Raw genomic sequence first — 14,522 nt, 5'->3', positions numbered from 1 at the left:
AGCCCTTTCTTACATTTGGATAGAGCACATAAGTCTAAGCATTTCTAGAATCCTAGAATCCAATTTAGGATAATACATGACATTTTTTTTCCAGCAGTGTCTCATCGAAACAGTTGAAAAAAGTTGTTTCTTTAGTTTGCTGAAAATGAATGATGCTGCTATTTACAACCAAGGTGTGTGTGTGCTTTCAACACACCTACACATCAGTGTGTCTTTTGTGCCATTTGTGTCTGCATGTTAATCAGTCAAAATATGTTCCTGTAGGTTCAGTTTGTATTTGACACCGTCTGAAATGCACACTTCTGTGAATCAGAGCCCCCTGAATATGTAACAGCCATGCAATTATTGTTTCCCTTTTACTATTCTCTGCGTTACACAAGTTAGTAGACAAATGCTAACCACACATGAATATCAATCAGGTGCCATAAAAGAGCAGCTGCAATGCCTCATAAATGCTTTAATCCTGTTACTAGTGAAATGGCCATGACTTTTCTTTCCTTCAGCACCAAGTCATTTCAGATGGGAGAAATGTAAATTAATATTGCTCTTAGCTTTCAAACCTGTGACTGCTAGTGGCGATTTTTATAGGAGAAAAATGTGGGGTCAATAAAATTTTATTTATATGGAGATAATTATGGAGAGGACTCTTTTTAAGCCATCTTCTCAGCATAAAGTAAATGCATAAGATCCTTTCCTTGATGAAAAAGAAATCAGCTTGAAATAAAGATATTGAAGGCTTTGCCACCTCTTGGTGATGTATGACTAGAAGTGAGAGCCCTTTCTGAGAACTTGCCAAGGAGATGATTAAACAGGAGGAGAGCATCTGAATATTGAAAAAAAAAAAAAAGAGTAAATCTCAGTGCTCTCCAACTTCACCCAAATGTGTATTTTGTGAAGCGTTCTGTTTCCTGTGATGGTTTGGGATTAATGAAGTACAGTATAATTAAATAATTGGTTAATACAGAAAGGGCTGCACAATGAATGCTTCAGCTGAATAATTTGATGGGGCATTGCCAAAGTTACTCATCTTGGGTAAACAAAATGATTAAAATTTCCCATTGATTCTGTAAACAGATTAGAATAGAAAATCAACCTTAGTACTAGGGTTTTGGGGATTTTATCTGCTCCCAAACCCCAGTAGTACCAGTTTGCCATCACTGCAAATCTTCCTGAGCACAGAGCGAAGGGGTGAGGGGAACTCAATTGCTTAACTCTAGGTAGATCCTGGGGACAGAGCAAGAATTTGCCTCTGTAGATGTGTAGTCTCCCTATCTGCTCAGACTTTTTAGAAACCTAAAGTTCAGGAGCGTGTCTTTCCATGTGATTAGGCAGAGGTTTCTTTTTCTAAGCCTCCGCAGAACCTCTTCCTGAAATGCATTCATTTATGAGACTTGCGAGATGATCTGCAATTGCTGCTTGAATTGGGCTCCCTTTTTGTATTCAGACAATTAGCTTTGTCGAGTGAGAATAAGGCACAGTCTTTCCCTTGTAAAGATCAACCTGTATTACTTATTAACCCTATTGTTTTGCTGATTATTGCCCAGAAATCGAATTTCCAAAAAAGAAACTGAATCATTATGTGCAAAGTAATAAATGACTTTGAGAATCTGGCTACATTTAAATGTATTTCTTTTGACAAGTCTCTTAATGCCTGGTGTCTTTGGTGCACGTTGCTGGGTCTGTGTCAGTGTTAATTAAATTGAGCTCTTTATGTTCCAGTTGCAGCACAGCTGCTTGTAGGTACACCTGAATGGAGAAGGATGCTGAATGCACTAACCTTTAAATTCCTTTGCAGTAATTGTTTAACCATCACTTGTCTCCTCGGCTGTTTTATAAAAGGACAAAACAGCAAGTGTCTGCATTGCATCTCGGTTTCTCCCATTAGCGAGGAGCAAGACAAAAAGACAGAGGAGAAAGTGAGCCTAAGGGGAAAGAGGTAAAAAGGCATTTCCCCTCATTTAAATGGGTTTGGCTATTAGATTTTTCTAGGAGAGGAGGGGGTCGGGGGGTGAGTAAAAGGGAACCGGGCTAGGGCAGGGAGGAGGGTGTGGAGGAGACGCGAAAGAATGGGGTCTGATCTCCTACCCCAGTCCAAAACTGATCGAGTGAGTCATAGAGGAAGCTGATTGAGGGCGTGTGCCACATGGCAAATGCCTGGAGGAACTGGCAAGGGGGTGGGGGCGGGTATTTTTTATTTTCCTCTATCTCCTCTTTGGTGACTTGCTTTGTATTTCACCTAGGAGTTCCTTTTGGTTCCAGGGAAGCTCCAGATTTGAGCATTTTCATGCTTTCTCTCCCATAGGCTCAACTTTCCCTGTCCCCCCACCCGTGCTCACAGGCCACTCACAATGAAAAATTCCAAATCCAAAGTATAGAAACTTTTTTAGGGGGGGTTGGTGGGAGGTTACTATGTTTAATATGAAAAGTTTATGGCCCTCAGCCTGTTTTCCCTTGTAAAAAGCACAGGGAGAAACCCGATGATGTAATGCACCAGAATAAGGAGCTGGAGCGGAGATGGGGTGCAACCCTCTGGGGTGCTTAATGTTTATTAATCAGTGCATGATTTGGGAGGGTGTTAGTGATTCATGCTGCCTTTTCTGTCACATAGAATTGCTGAGTACTCCTATGGGCATCAAAAGAAATCAAGCAAGAAGAAAAAAATCAGTAAGAATGACATCCGCCTGGTACCCCGGGATGTGGAGGAGACAGACAAGATGAACGTTGTCAGTTGCTCTTCCCTGACCTCCTCCCTCAACTATTTTGACTACCACCAGCAGACGCTGCCCCTGGGCTGCCGCCGCTCTGAGAGCACTTTCCTGAATGTGGAGAACCAGAATACCCGCAACACCAGTGCTAACCACATCTACCATCACTCTTTCAACAGCCAGGGGCCCCAGCAGCCTGACCTGATTATCAACGGTGTGCCTCTGCCTGAGGTGAGTGCAGCTAAGTGGCTCTGTGAGGTTCTCCCAGGTCTCCTTCTTTAGCTGCTCGCTGGATACCATAAGCTGCTGTGCTGGCACATCCCCTGGCAGGGGTGGGGAGAATTTCTCTGCTTATGCCCATTTTCATACTAAGGGTTTGCTATCAGTGCTTCTTGGAGCAAAAGGTAACCCAACATACTGGGCCTTTGTGTAGGTATGGGTATTGGAATTGGTAACTCAAAGAGTCTGAGCCCTTGAAATCATTATCCTGGCATAACTCAAGTTTGCTCCACCTGTTGCAAATATAGCATGCTTGACAGCCAGCAGTACCAGTATGCCAGTAAAGTGGCTTAGAAAGAGTCATCAAGTAGTGTTGAAAATGGATGAAACCCTCTAATGCCCTGGGACCAATTTTCCAGTGTGAGAGTGATTCAGCCTCCTAAAGACCCCATTTGCTTTTTCTTTCGTCACATCACTGTTCTCTAGCATTTTGGTGAGAGAATATGGATAGGCTGGTTAAAGGGAGGCAAAGCAAAAAAATTAAAAAGCCACTTTGCCATTTCTTAGCAGTTCTAGTGGTAACATTTGATGGTTGAGGAGATTGAAACTGTCATTATTGCTGAAAATTTAAGAATTAGTTGGCTGGTTGCAGTGGCTCACACCTGTAATCCCAGTACTTTGAGAGGCCGAGGCAGGAGAATCGGTTGAGCCTGGAATTCCAGACCAGCTTGCCAGCCTGGGCAATATAGTGAGACTTCGTCTCTAACAACGAAAAAAAAAAAGAGTAAGAATAAGAATAAGAATTATCTATGCATTTGAGTGAGCTCTGTTTCTTTCTCTTCACTGGGAATGAATGTATTTAAGTAGAATTTTTTTTTTTTTTTTGAGATGGAGTTTCTCTTGTTGTCCAGGCTAGAGTGCAATGGCACAATGTTGGCTCACCGCAACCTCCACCTCCCGGCTTCAAGCAATTCTCCTGCTCCAGCCTCCAGAGTAGCTGGGATTACAGGCATGCACCACCACGCCCAGCTAATTTTGTATTTTTAGTAGAGACGGGGTTTCACCATGTTGGTCAGGCTGGTCTCAAACTCCTGACTGCAGGTGATCCTCCCACCTCAGCCTCCCAAAGTGCTGGGATTACAGGCATGAGCCACTGCACCGGGCTTAAGTAGAAATATTTTTTAAAATGTGATGTGGTCAGATGTTTGCTGGCTATTGAAATATTTTAGGGCAGTAGAGTGGTATATGGATGATGGCTGGTGGGTGGCTGGGAGGAAGGCTATAAGTAACATTTCTTAAGTTGATTTCATTTTTCCATGAATTGCTTAAGTCCCTCTTTGGTTAGAAATCTGATGCACTGGGAGGCATATGTCCTCTTCCAAGCTACCAGCGAAAAGAATACTGCATACTTAGAGAGCACTTTCACATCTTTCAAAGCACCTTCCCAAACATTGTTTCGTTTGATCCTCACAATCAGGTATCTTGATAGGTTGCCCTTCAGTAGATGATGAAACAGAGGTCCAGAGATGCTAAGGGACTTACTCAGACTCACAAAGCTGGTCATCAAGAGAGGGAGGACGAGACTGAAGGACTCTATACTGCCTGGCAAATGTGATTTCAGTGACACCTTCCTGCCTTAAAAGTAATTCAGCCTGACATACCCAGGCTATGATGCATACATAAAATGGCCTCATAGTATTTGTGTCAATTTTGTAGGATAAGGGGTCTTAGGACCACTTACATTGATTGCTTCTTCTAGTTCCTGAACAATAATTCCCATCAGAATTAATGGGGCCAAACAGCAGTGCTTTTGATGAGTAACTGATGGTATTCTGCCAGCAACAAAAGCACCAATATTTTCAATTTATAACTCTATAAATAAGGATTTTTTGAAAGTCCAGTATTGTGCTAGGTAAACTCAGTTATAATTATTAATGTCAGTGAATACTACTAAGGCCTAGGCCGTAGACTACTTACAAGACTACTTGTGGATCACCAATAGCTCAGCAATAGAAAGTGAGAGGTAGTGGTGTGTAGTGGAATCAGATTGATCATGATTTTGAATCCAGGAATCACTGCTTGCTGTGGAACATAAGACTCTGTTTCTTTATCTACAAAATGGGCACACCTGTCATGCAAAGTTGTTCCAAGGAATATGACTTGTGTAGTGTAGTAGGTTCAACTCATTGGTGTCCCCAAAATAGTAGACCTCTTCACTATACAGTTGGAGAATCAGTGTTACAATGGCTTGCACTACTGATTGTGTCTCCCTAGGCACTTGTAACCAAAGAGGAATTTAGGCTGCTTCTATATAGATACATCCTACAAAGTATTATGGCCATACTACTCATATTGATCATTTAAACAATAGAGGTGAAAGATGCCAAAGTTGTGGGGTTCAGTTGTTCACAAGTAACGGCACTGTTACTTGTGGAGATGGACAAAAGGGTTGAATCCTGAGGACTTGGTGATCACTTAGGCAATCAATTCAAGGCACTAGAGAAATGTGAGTTCTGGTGTCTATGAAATAGATGGAGAGGACAGAAAACATATGACGACATCTGATTGGTTTACCTAAGACTTAGTATCATTTCTGGGATTCTTCCATGGGCTGAATGAAACAAAATATTGCTTCAATTATTTAGAAAAGCCGTTTAAAATCTCAGTTCTGATCCTGTCTCTGACTCACAAAGCCAGATGCTTTTCCTTGGTTAACAAAATTACACAGTTTTGGTGTGTACAGCTGGTCATGGCCAAGACAGTGTGTACTAGACATAGTGAGGTTGTGTGTATTTCTAATATTCAGTCCCTCCTGGAGAGTTCAACTGGCAAACCCATTCAGAAAGGAGAGAGGCCCACTTACAGCTGAATACAGACCAGGCCATTTAACCTGAATCAGTCACAATGCCCTGCGTAGGGAAAATGACACTTCTTTTCTTTTATACCAAAGGCCACTGGACTCGGTGGAATACTTAGGTCCAATGAAATCTATAGAAGAGCAGGGATGATTGATTTGTTCATTCAACTGATATTTGTTGAGCCTACTCTTTGTAAGGCACTGCTCTAGGCTCTGGCGTTAGAGAGATGAAAAAGACAAGAAATGCACATTCTAAAGTGTGAGACAATCAAGTAAATAGGTGATTTGCAATATAGAGTAATAAATGCTAATATAGGGTGCAATGGGACATTCTCCATTGCTAGGATAATAACATTTTGATATATTTCCTACATTATCTTTATATTTTCCTAATTAATTAATTAATCCATTCAAGAAAGCAACATTTATTAAGCAATTATAGCATAGAATGATAAGTGCTATGATGTGGCAAATATAAGATTCTATAGAAATTTCTCTATATTATGTTACTTACATTGTTCTTTATATTATTTCATTAAACCATTCTTTCATTTGTTCATTAATTTATCCCATTAGCAGTTATTATACATTTAGAATGTGCCAGATAATGTACTACTTCCCGGGGATCAAAAATAATAAAACACTTGTTTCTTGAACCCAGGGAGCTTACAGAAATACAGACAAGTAAACAGGTAATTTCAATTCAGAATAACATCCTATTCCTGAGCACGTTACATTCTTACTCTCCAGGTTGGGACAAAAGGGTACTACATAGTAGGTTCCTCTGTTGGGTTACCTGTGTCAAACCCAGTCCCTTTATGAGCTGTAGATCCAGTTACAGGGCTTACTCTCAAAGGGATTATAGACGAGTCCACTCAGACCTGTTGCGTGCTAGCTGTACTCACTCTATCACACTTTGAAATTTATCACCATGGCATTAGATCAAGTCAGCAAGCATTGTTGGAGTATCCACTATGTGCTCAGCTGTGTGGCAGGGACCATGGAGATTCCAAATAAGTTTAAGACGTAACTTCTGCCCTCAGAGAGTTCACAGTCTAGTTGGGGAGCTAAGATCACCCACAATGATTTCACGGGCAAGCAATACAAGATAGTTTCTGATCACCTGTCGCTTTGTAGACTCCTAAGAACTCCTTTCTCCTCCTTTAATGGCAGCCTTACATTTTATGTAGATTTGCCATTGAACCCTCAAAATTTAGTGCTGAATGGAAGATAGCTCTTGTATCAGTGTCCAAACCTAGCCACATCTGAACATTGTTGGCTCTAGAAGCTAACAGAAATATGACTTTGAATGCAGTTAGGTAGGCAAGGTAAAGGGAATGGAACACTAATCAAGAATTGGAACTCAGTTTACAGTATTGCAGAGATAATCTTGTGTAGAATTGTATATCATTATTTACTTGTCCTCTGATGTTGGCTGGGAAATCAGCTATGTGGATTTTGTGGTTTCGTACACAAATTTGAGGGGCAAAGTGGAGGATGCCTTTGCTGTTTACAGAAGACTTTTGTAGAATTATTGATGTCAGGTATCTTTTACATATTTTAAACTGAAAGGTGAGGTTTGCATTCCTTGGTATCCTGGTTTATTTTACTCATAGACTTAGTGTATATGTGAATGAATTAGAGGGCGTGTGTATGTGTGTGTGTATGTGTGTGTGTGTGTGTATGAGGGCGTAGAAAAGAGTGAAGAGAGAGGAAAGGAGGTTGAAAAAGAAGGAAAATGGAGAAGAAAGATAGTAGGTTTGTCAGTTTGCTAAGATCTTTCTAAAAATAGTCCAAATTTTTTGAGAGGCTCCTTAGTAAGGCAAATGATTTTTCTTCCGGTCTTATGGAATGGAGACATGCCTACTGGTGTCTCTGGATGCTGGAAAGTGTTATTCCTTTGTACAGCAGCATTGCTGCATTACCATTTTTGTCACCTGGCTGCAGTCATTATTGGAGGAAGAAAATGCAACTCATTGCTTCTACTGGAAATGGAGACTTGGGTGAGGCTTCTTCTTGCCTCCAGGAGGGGTGAAATGGCCCAAACACCCAGTGTCTTTGTGCAGTATTTTTAAATTTTAGTTTTCTGATGTTGAATGTTTCTGAGCTGACAGCTGTAAGGGAGTGATAGTAGGCAAAAACTTAGAGAATTCCAGTCATAGGTCCGTAGGGATTTAAATTTTGGTTTCAGTCTCAATCTTGAATTCTATTTTCTACCTTTCATCAGCAAACTGTAGTTTCTTTGATATGAGGCATCTAAGGGGTGTGTGTGCATGCTCTGCTATAGCCACTCATGCAACAGTCTTCATAAGTAGTGACGTAGCCGTGGAAGAGCTTGCAGAACAAGAATGTGTGTGGCAGCCAAATTGAATGCTTCCAATTATCCTACAAAAAGTCTGAATGCATGGTCATCTTAGTGGAAATAATGAAAATAAAACATCAGTTAGGCTTTGAAAAAAAATAGCCCAGTACACTTTAGTTCCTAAAACAGAGTTTTAAAGTTAGAGATTTGCAGTGACTTGAATGAAATTCTGGGCTAAATTAGACAGCCACAAACCTATCAGGTAGTAGATTCAGAAGGCACTAAAAAATAATAGGTATGATAAGGCTGGTTTGGATAGCATGGAAATGACACAAAGCATCACCTCTAATTAAAAGAAACCAACAAACCCTTTAGTGCGCGTCTTGTTTGTTTGTCTCCTTATTACAGTAGGGTCTTGGAATCATTTAAGTCCTATCCCTAAGGGTCAAAAGTAACCCTGAAGGAGAAAGCAATGAGAAACAATGCAGCCCACATCTTTTCGAGCATTCTCATTTCAGTTTTCTTCAAAAATCAAGGGCTCAATTTCTACCAGCAGTCATTCTAGGGCCACCCATTGCCTACATTGTATCTTATTGGCATGTTTCACCTCTAGCTGAGACAGCCGGTTTCCCAGTGGGGATGGGCTTGCAAGATGTGTTCCAGAATAAACTGTTCCTCTGTTGTCTCCATGCAACTGCCACAGAACTGCAGAACTGAGTTAGTTTACATTAGTATCTGCTAATTTATTATTATCATTCCTTATCGGCAATTAACTGGTTACCTTAGAGATCACCTCTCTCCCCGTACACCTTCACTGAAGTTGAGCTCAGCCAGAGCTCTTGCTAATCATCCTGAGATTTTTCTCCCCAAGGGGCTGGAGGCAGGACATTTTCCACAGAGGGCTCTAAGGCTTTGGAATTCCTCTTATCAGAGGACCACTTGTTTTGGGTCCAGGTGGCTCCACCTGGTTTTTTCTCTGATTGTCAGTCAGACTTACAAGGTAGGATGAGCTGCAGACCTCTCTCTCCCTAACCTTGCCCCAGCTTGTGCTGTGGCTTGGGCTTATTGTGCCCAGCGCAGAAGCTAAGGGCTTAGGGGATTGCTTGTTAGGAATTAGGGGACTGAAAAAGGATGAAGTCACCTCCTGGCAAAGCTGGAGTCTTTCAATTGTGGCAGTGCTGTGGCTCTTAGGCGTCTGCCTCGAGTTTCAGATGTTGGCCCCTCTGCATGTGTACCTCAGCTTCCAGGATTTAGGGGAGGCCAAGCTTGGTTGAATCGAGTGTCTCAGATTTGGGTAAATAAAGCCGTTTTTACAAGAGGCCTGTGTGTGAGAGGTGGGAGGATGGCTCTGGAGCAGCCATTTTCCCCCACGGAGAAGAGGCTTGATTTCTTGATGCGTGACTGGCTGGCCTTTGATGTGAGCCTCATTTACTTCGAACAATTGAGAGGCTTGAAGTGAAAATCCCAGAGGATCAGTTGTTTGCAGAGGGAAATGCTCTTCAAGTTACATTTCCTATTTGGCTGTTGTGTATTTAGAGTAGTTTTTGTGTGGGCTGCATAGTGGGGTCACTCAGCTTCTAGTGGGTGTACCCAGGCTGCTAGCACCTCCCTGTGCCCCCCAGGGGAATGATGAGGAACATTCCTGCAGCTGTGGGGACAGCAACTCTGCCAACTCCGGGAGCTTGAGCTCCTGTGCAGAAACCTTACTTGTTATCATTAGGCATATTGGTTAGGACCACACAGCTCCACAGCATTTCTAGAAGAGGTGTCAGAATGGACCAGTGTTTCCACTCTACAGTAATGAAAATGGAAAAGGCAAATGACTTACCCAGGCACACAACATTTGCGGCCAAACAAGCCTCCATTTTGCTTCACAGTAGTTCCTCTGGTGCAGCTTCCAAGCGTTTTCTGTCACATAATGAAAAACCTGACAGGACTCTCTAGGAGGACCTGCGGGTATACTTTCGATGGTAGTTGTGTTCCTGAAAAGCTGGTCAGCCAAAGGGTGTTTGTTTTGTAAATTAGACCCCATGCTAATCACAGCAGTGGAATTCTGTATTTAAAGAAAGCCTGTGATGGATCCTTTCATAAAGGAGAGTCCTTATATAATGTGAATAATCAACTCCTAACTGATTTCTTTTGTAAGTCTGGATTTTCACATATCTTGTTTGCTTAAAATTAGATTCCTCAGGCCGGGCGCGGTGGCTCACGCCTGTAATCCCAGCACTTTGGGAGGCCGAGGCGGGCGGATCACGAGGTCAGGAGATCGAGACCATCCCGGCTAAAACGGTGAAACCCCGTCTCTACTAAAAATACAAAAAATTAGCCGGGCGTGGTGGCGGGCGCCTGTGGTCCCAGCTACTTGGGAGGCTGAGGCAGGAGAATGGCGTGAACCCGGGAGGCGGAGCTTGCAGTGAGCCAAGATCCCGCCACTGCACTCCAGCCTGGGCGACAGAGCGAGACTCCGTCTCAAAAAAAAAAAAAAAAAAAAAATTAGATTCCTCAAATTGACAAGATTTACAAAACCTTTGAAAGGTGGGCCAATTCATTTTTCCCTTGATTGAAATCTGGCCCTTGAATCCTCACTGGTTAGCCTTCCTGTTTGATTTTTACTTAATTAAACAACTTGCAACTATGTAATATTTAAAATATAGTGTCCAGAAAAGATGGGTACGTGTCATTGAAATTTAACAAGTATTAGCATTTAATATTTGCTTCAGATTCTAAAAAAATGAAATAAAATATGACAGCTGCCATCTTCCCATCCTTTTCTCTCCTTTGTAAATAAACCCTTGGCTCAAAGAACAGAAGCCCATCACGAATTTTTTTTTGTCTTCACCTGTAGAGCTCGTTCCTGAAGAGATGGCTTCCCCTTTGCTGTCTCAGATTATGAAAGCTCCCCAAGTCAGTAAGGATTTCCTGGATTGGGTAGAGCCTGGGAATTACTTTGGAAAGTGAAAGAGCTCTCTTAGACTTGCCTTTAAATTCAGTGTTTGGGGAGGGAGAAAAATCACTTTTCAGAATGGGGAAAAAATGAGAATGAGAGTGAGACAGACAAATTGACAGACACATGTTAGGTCCAGCTACCTACAGAATTTTGAGCAGACCCTTTGGGACTGAAGCAGGCAGGAAGCTTGGTGTCAAGTCTGTGTTCTCCTTGAGCTCAGTGTTCATGGACTAGCACCGCGGCTTCTTTTTGTTGTTGTTGTTGAGACGGAGTCTCACTTCGTCACCTAGGCTGTAGTGCAGTGGTATGATCTCGGCTCACTGCAACCTCTGCCTCCCGGGTTCAAGCGATTCTGCTGCCTCAGCCTCCTGAATAGCTGGGATTACAGGCATGCACCACTATGCCCGGCTAACTTTTTGTATTTTTAGTAGAGACAGGGTTTCACCGTGTTGGCCAGGGTGGTCTCGAACTCCTGACCTCAGGTCATCCACCCGCCTCTGCCTCCCAAAGTGCTGGGATTACAGGCATGAGCCACTACGCCTGGCTGCATCTTGGCTTCTTAATGTTAGATGCTTAAGCACTGTCTTGATGTGCATAGTCTTCTGATGCTCCATTAAGTCTCTGAGTGCCAGGGTGGCCAGTTTTCAGTTTCTCCCACTGGGCCCCATCTGGCCGCTGTTCTGTGGCAAGCTGCTCTCCCTCACTGCCACCAGCACTGGCCTTGGCGGTCTCTGCCTTCTGGATTATTTTCGCTCCCAAATCTGATTTCCAGAGCATGAAGGGCACCTCTTCTCAGATTGTGTAGTTTGCTCTTCTGAGCAAAATGGATTCCCTGTGTAAGCCGACAGGAAGAAAAGTTCAATCCAAAGGCCAGATCCCTCTTTAGGGGAGTTTGTGTGTGTGTGTGTGTGTGTGTGTGTGTGTGTGTGTGTATGTATGTATGTGTATGTGTGGGAGAGGGAGAGGGGGAAAGGAGAGAGAGAAAGAAGCAGGAGGGAATAAAATGAACATTATCTGCTTCTCTCACTCACTTTTTTTGCCTCTGTGATGATGGAGCCTTTGCCGGCTGGGCTGACCGTACACATGTCTATGATATTAGGTCCTCAGAGCCCCCTTCCCAACTCTTTGACATTCTGCTGGTTGTCTCCCTGAGGAAATGCTCATAAGCTTAGTTACAGCAGGGTGTGATCCCCCAAATGTGAGGCCATGACACCCCAATTTGATATAGCTCAAGGATAGATCTCTCAGAGACTCTTTTTAATTGAGATCTCGGTGAGTAGGAAGCAGCCAAATAATCATTGCTGTGCATACAACTCAGCTTAAGAATACCTTATAGTGCATATTTTCAATTTATTAGAAATTATTTTCTGAGGCTTGCTTTCTCTTTTTGTTTCTTTTGGGCACAATTCTGTATCAAGCTTTCCTCTTCTTTAATTCTCTTGGCTTGAGGGAGTCTGCTATGGACTGCCTATGTGTACAGGTCGTTTGCTATAAAACCATATCTTTTCTAAGTGAGAAGAATGGACAGGGAGACCCTGTCAAACTGCATTCAGAGGGATTGGCTTAACCTTTAAGAGGCTTTTTTATAACTAAAAATGTCCGTAATCTAGCATTCATATTTGAAACTTGACATGCTTGAGGGAGGCAGGGCTCTGGAGATACAGGGACGAACAGAGGCATATGGCTACAGGTAATGGTGAACGGCTTGTTGGAAGACTGATTTCCTCCTCTGTTCTGCCAGGCACAGAGGCCATGGTAAGGACACAGACACACTGCACTCATAAGACTGGCATTGACTATGAGCTTGCTGTTCTGATCATTTCTTTAATTAGTGCATTTCCATTTTTTCAAGTATAGACTTTTGAGTGATGGAGTATGCTAATGGTAACATTTGTTCCTAAAAGCTTAGGGGAGAGAACACAGTGGCATTCGTACTAAATAATGGTTTTTTCGTAGTGAAGATTTTGCCTGATTTTAAAATTGCAAAATAATTTTATGGTAGTTATGGCTTTTTGGAAACGAATCTCAAATACTACATATGAAACACCAATTTTCTGTGTGGCTTGTGCACTTACTAATGGCATGTGTGTGCTTACACTTCTAGGTCATTCTATTTTGCCTTTACTGGTAATTCTTTAGAAATAGAAAAAGAAGTGTGCTTTGTTGCAGTAAAAAATATAATAATTTTCTGAAATGGAAAGAAAGCTAACCTGCCTTTGCAAAAACTATGCATTATGTAGTGGCCTGATGGAGCAAAACCTTATAAAACTGGTAAGCTATAAATACCATGGCACTGGGCGTTGTTGGAATGACATCCGGGGCTTGGTCTTTGCACATCTGATCACCAGGTACCCTCAAGAGGAGATCATGGAAGGTGGAGAAAAATCCGTACCTGTAAAGGTTTGTGGCTATGCATGGTGTCATATTTGGAAATATGGGATCAAATAAATGTGTGTGATGTTTCCAACACTTTGCTGTCCTCACTCTTTGAGCCTAGCAAACTCTATCAGGACAGTTTTCTCTAGTGTGTGAGTGAGCCCAAGTGACTGTATCATCAAAGATAACCATCTAGAAATCTGCAGTTCTGAGGTAGGGGAGATCACTACCAAAACAGATGAAACAATTAAAAACCTCATAAAAGAGAAGCTTTAGTTTATTGAAGCCTGTTATTACTAGGGAAATCAGAATCCAAGACATAGAGAATTCTGAAAATTCCAGACAAATGCCAAACTACACCAAACCTGCAACAATATGTGAAGAGATTGGGTTGGGGGATCTCCAAGTTATCTTTCAGCTCTGGGTGTAAATGTGTGAATGTTTGCAGCATTGGTTTGAAGGGCTTCATATAGCTGCCTGCATTGAAGTTTGAGTCCATGTGATGACAATGGTTGCTCTGTAGGTGGTATTGAAGGCAGAGGACTTAGCTATGGCAGGTGAAACAATAGGTACAGCACATTAGCTTTTAATGAGGGCAGCATATTCTGTGTATAATCTGAGTTGTGAGTGTGCATGCCAAAACTCAGAGCCTCTCTGTTCAAATATGTCTTCCTGTCCAACGCGAGTTCTGCCATAAAGGCAGCAATGGGTATTCTAACCTTGCTTCATTTGGTTTGTACTTGTTCTAGGGATGAATAGGAGATGCACGCGTCTTGCCTGGCAAACTAGACCTTTCAGGAGAGCACAAATTCACTTAAACATAAATTATGTTGATTATCACTCTACCTAAAAATTTATAGAGCTGGAAGTCACCGAGATCTCCTTTTAAGTTGGGTATTCTTGAAAACTGTTTTGTATATCATGATAAATTATCTAACCTTTTATACAGTTGAAGGCCAACATTATGGAAATAAGCAGCTTTTTATTCCATTCTAAGGTCAGTCTAACCAAATTATGCAACTTCTAATGCAGTTGCTTGAAGCTTCCACTTTGAAAGTTTTTTCATTTTAATACCTTGCAACAGAGATAAATATTTTAGCTACTATTCATGCTTAA

General features: G+C 42.1%; 1 protein-coding gene across 3 annotated transcripts in view, besides 4 other annotated features; it reads left to right on the top strand.

Annotated features, from left to right (window-relative positions):
• The window catches only part of PCDH19 (protocadherin 19), a 118,630-nt gene that overhangs the window by 4,814 nt on the left and 99,294 nt on the right, over window positions 1-14,522 (top strand). For 2 of the 3 annotated variants that reach the window (NM_020766.3, NM_001105243.2), the window contains exon 2: window positions 2,609-2,936. In NM_020766.3, the coding sequence (NP_065817.2) occupies window positions 2,609-2,936 (328 nt within the window). Of the gene's footprint in view, window positions 1-1,795; window positions 1,937-2,608; window positions 2,937-14,522 lie in introns of all 3 variants that reach the window. The other variant, NM_001184880.2, reaches the window with a different exon arrangement.
• Window positions 1,878-3,077: an enhancer, noted in NCBI's record as "CDK7 strongly-dependent group 2 enhancer chrX:99657381-99658580 (GRCh37/hg19 assembly coordinates)". NCBI's record gives its function as "activates an origin of replication core promoter dependent on BRD2, BRD4, P300/CBP, MED14 and CDK7 cofactors, with strong dependence on CDK7, by STARR-seq in HCT116 cells {active_cell/tissue: HCT116}" and the evidence as "EXISTENCE:reporter gene assay evidence [ECO:0000049][PMID:35650434]".
• Window positions 1,878-3,109: a biological region, named in NCBI's record as "CDK7 strongly-dependent group 2 enhancer GRCh37_chrX:99657381-99658580".
• Window positions 2,815-3,109: a silencer, noted in NCBI's record as "tiled region #9739; K562 Repressive non-DNase unmatched - State 24:Quies". NCBI's record gives its function as "represses a minimal TATA promoter and a strong SV40 promoter by Sharpr-MPRA in K562 cells {active_cell/tissue: K562}" and the evidence as "EXISTENCE:reporter gene assay evidence [ECO:0000049][PMID:27701403]".
• Window positions 9,815-10,419: an enhancer, noted in NCBI's record as "OCT4-NANOG hESC enhancer chrX:99650039-99650643 (GRCh37/hg19 assembly coordinates)". NCBI's record gives its function as "activates a minimal SCP1, AML or CMV promoter by ChIP-STARR-seq in primed H9 embryonic stem cells {active_cell/tissue: H9 hESC(primed)}" and the evidence as "EXISTENCE:reporter gene assay evidence [ECO:0000049][PMID:30033119]".

This window comes from Homo sapiens, chromosome X (assembly GCF_000001405.40).
Source record: "Homo sapiens chromosome X, GRCh38.p14 Primary Assembly".
Lineage (NCBI taxonomy): Eukaryota > Metazoa > Chordata > Mammalia > Primates > Hominidae > Homo > Homo sapiens.
The sequence above is the reverse complement of the archived record's forward strand: the minus strand, read 5'-3'. Positions and strand labels throughout refer to the sequence as shown.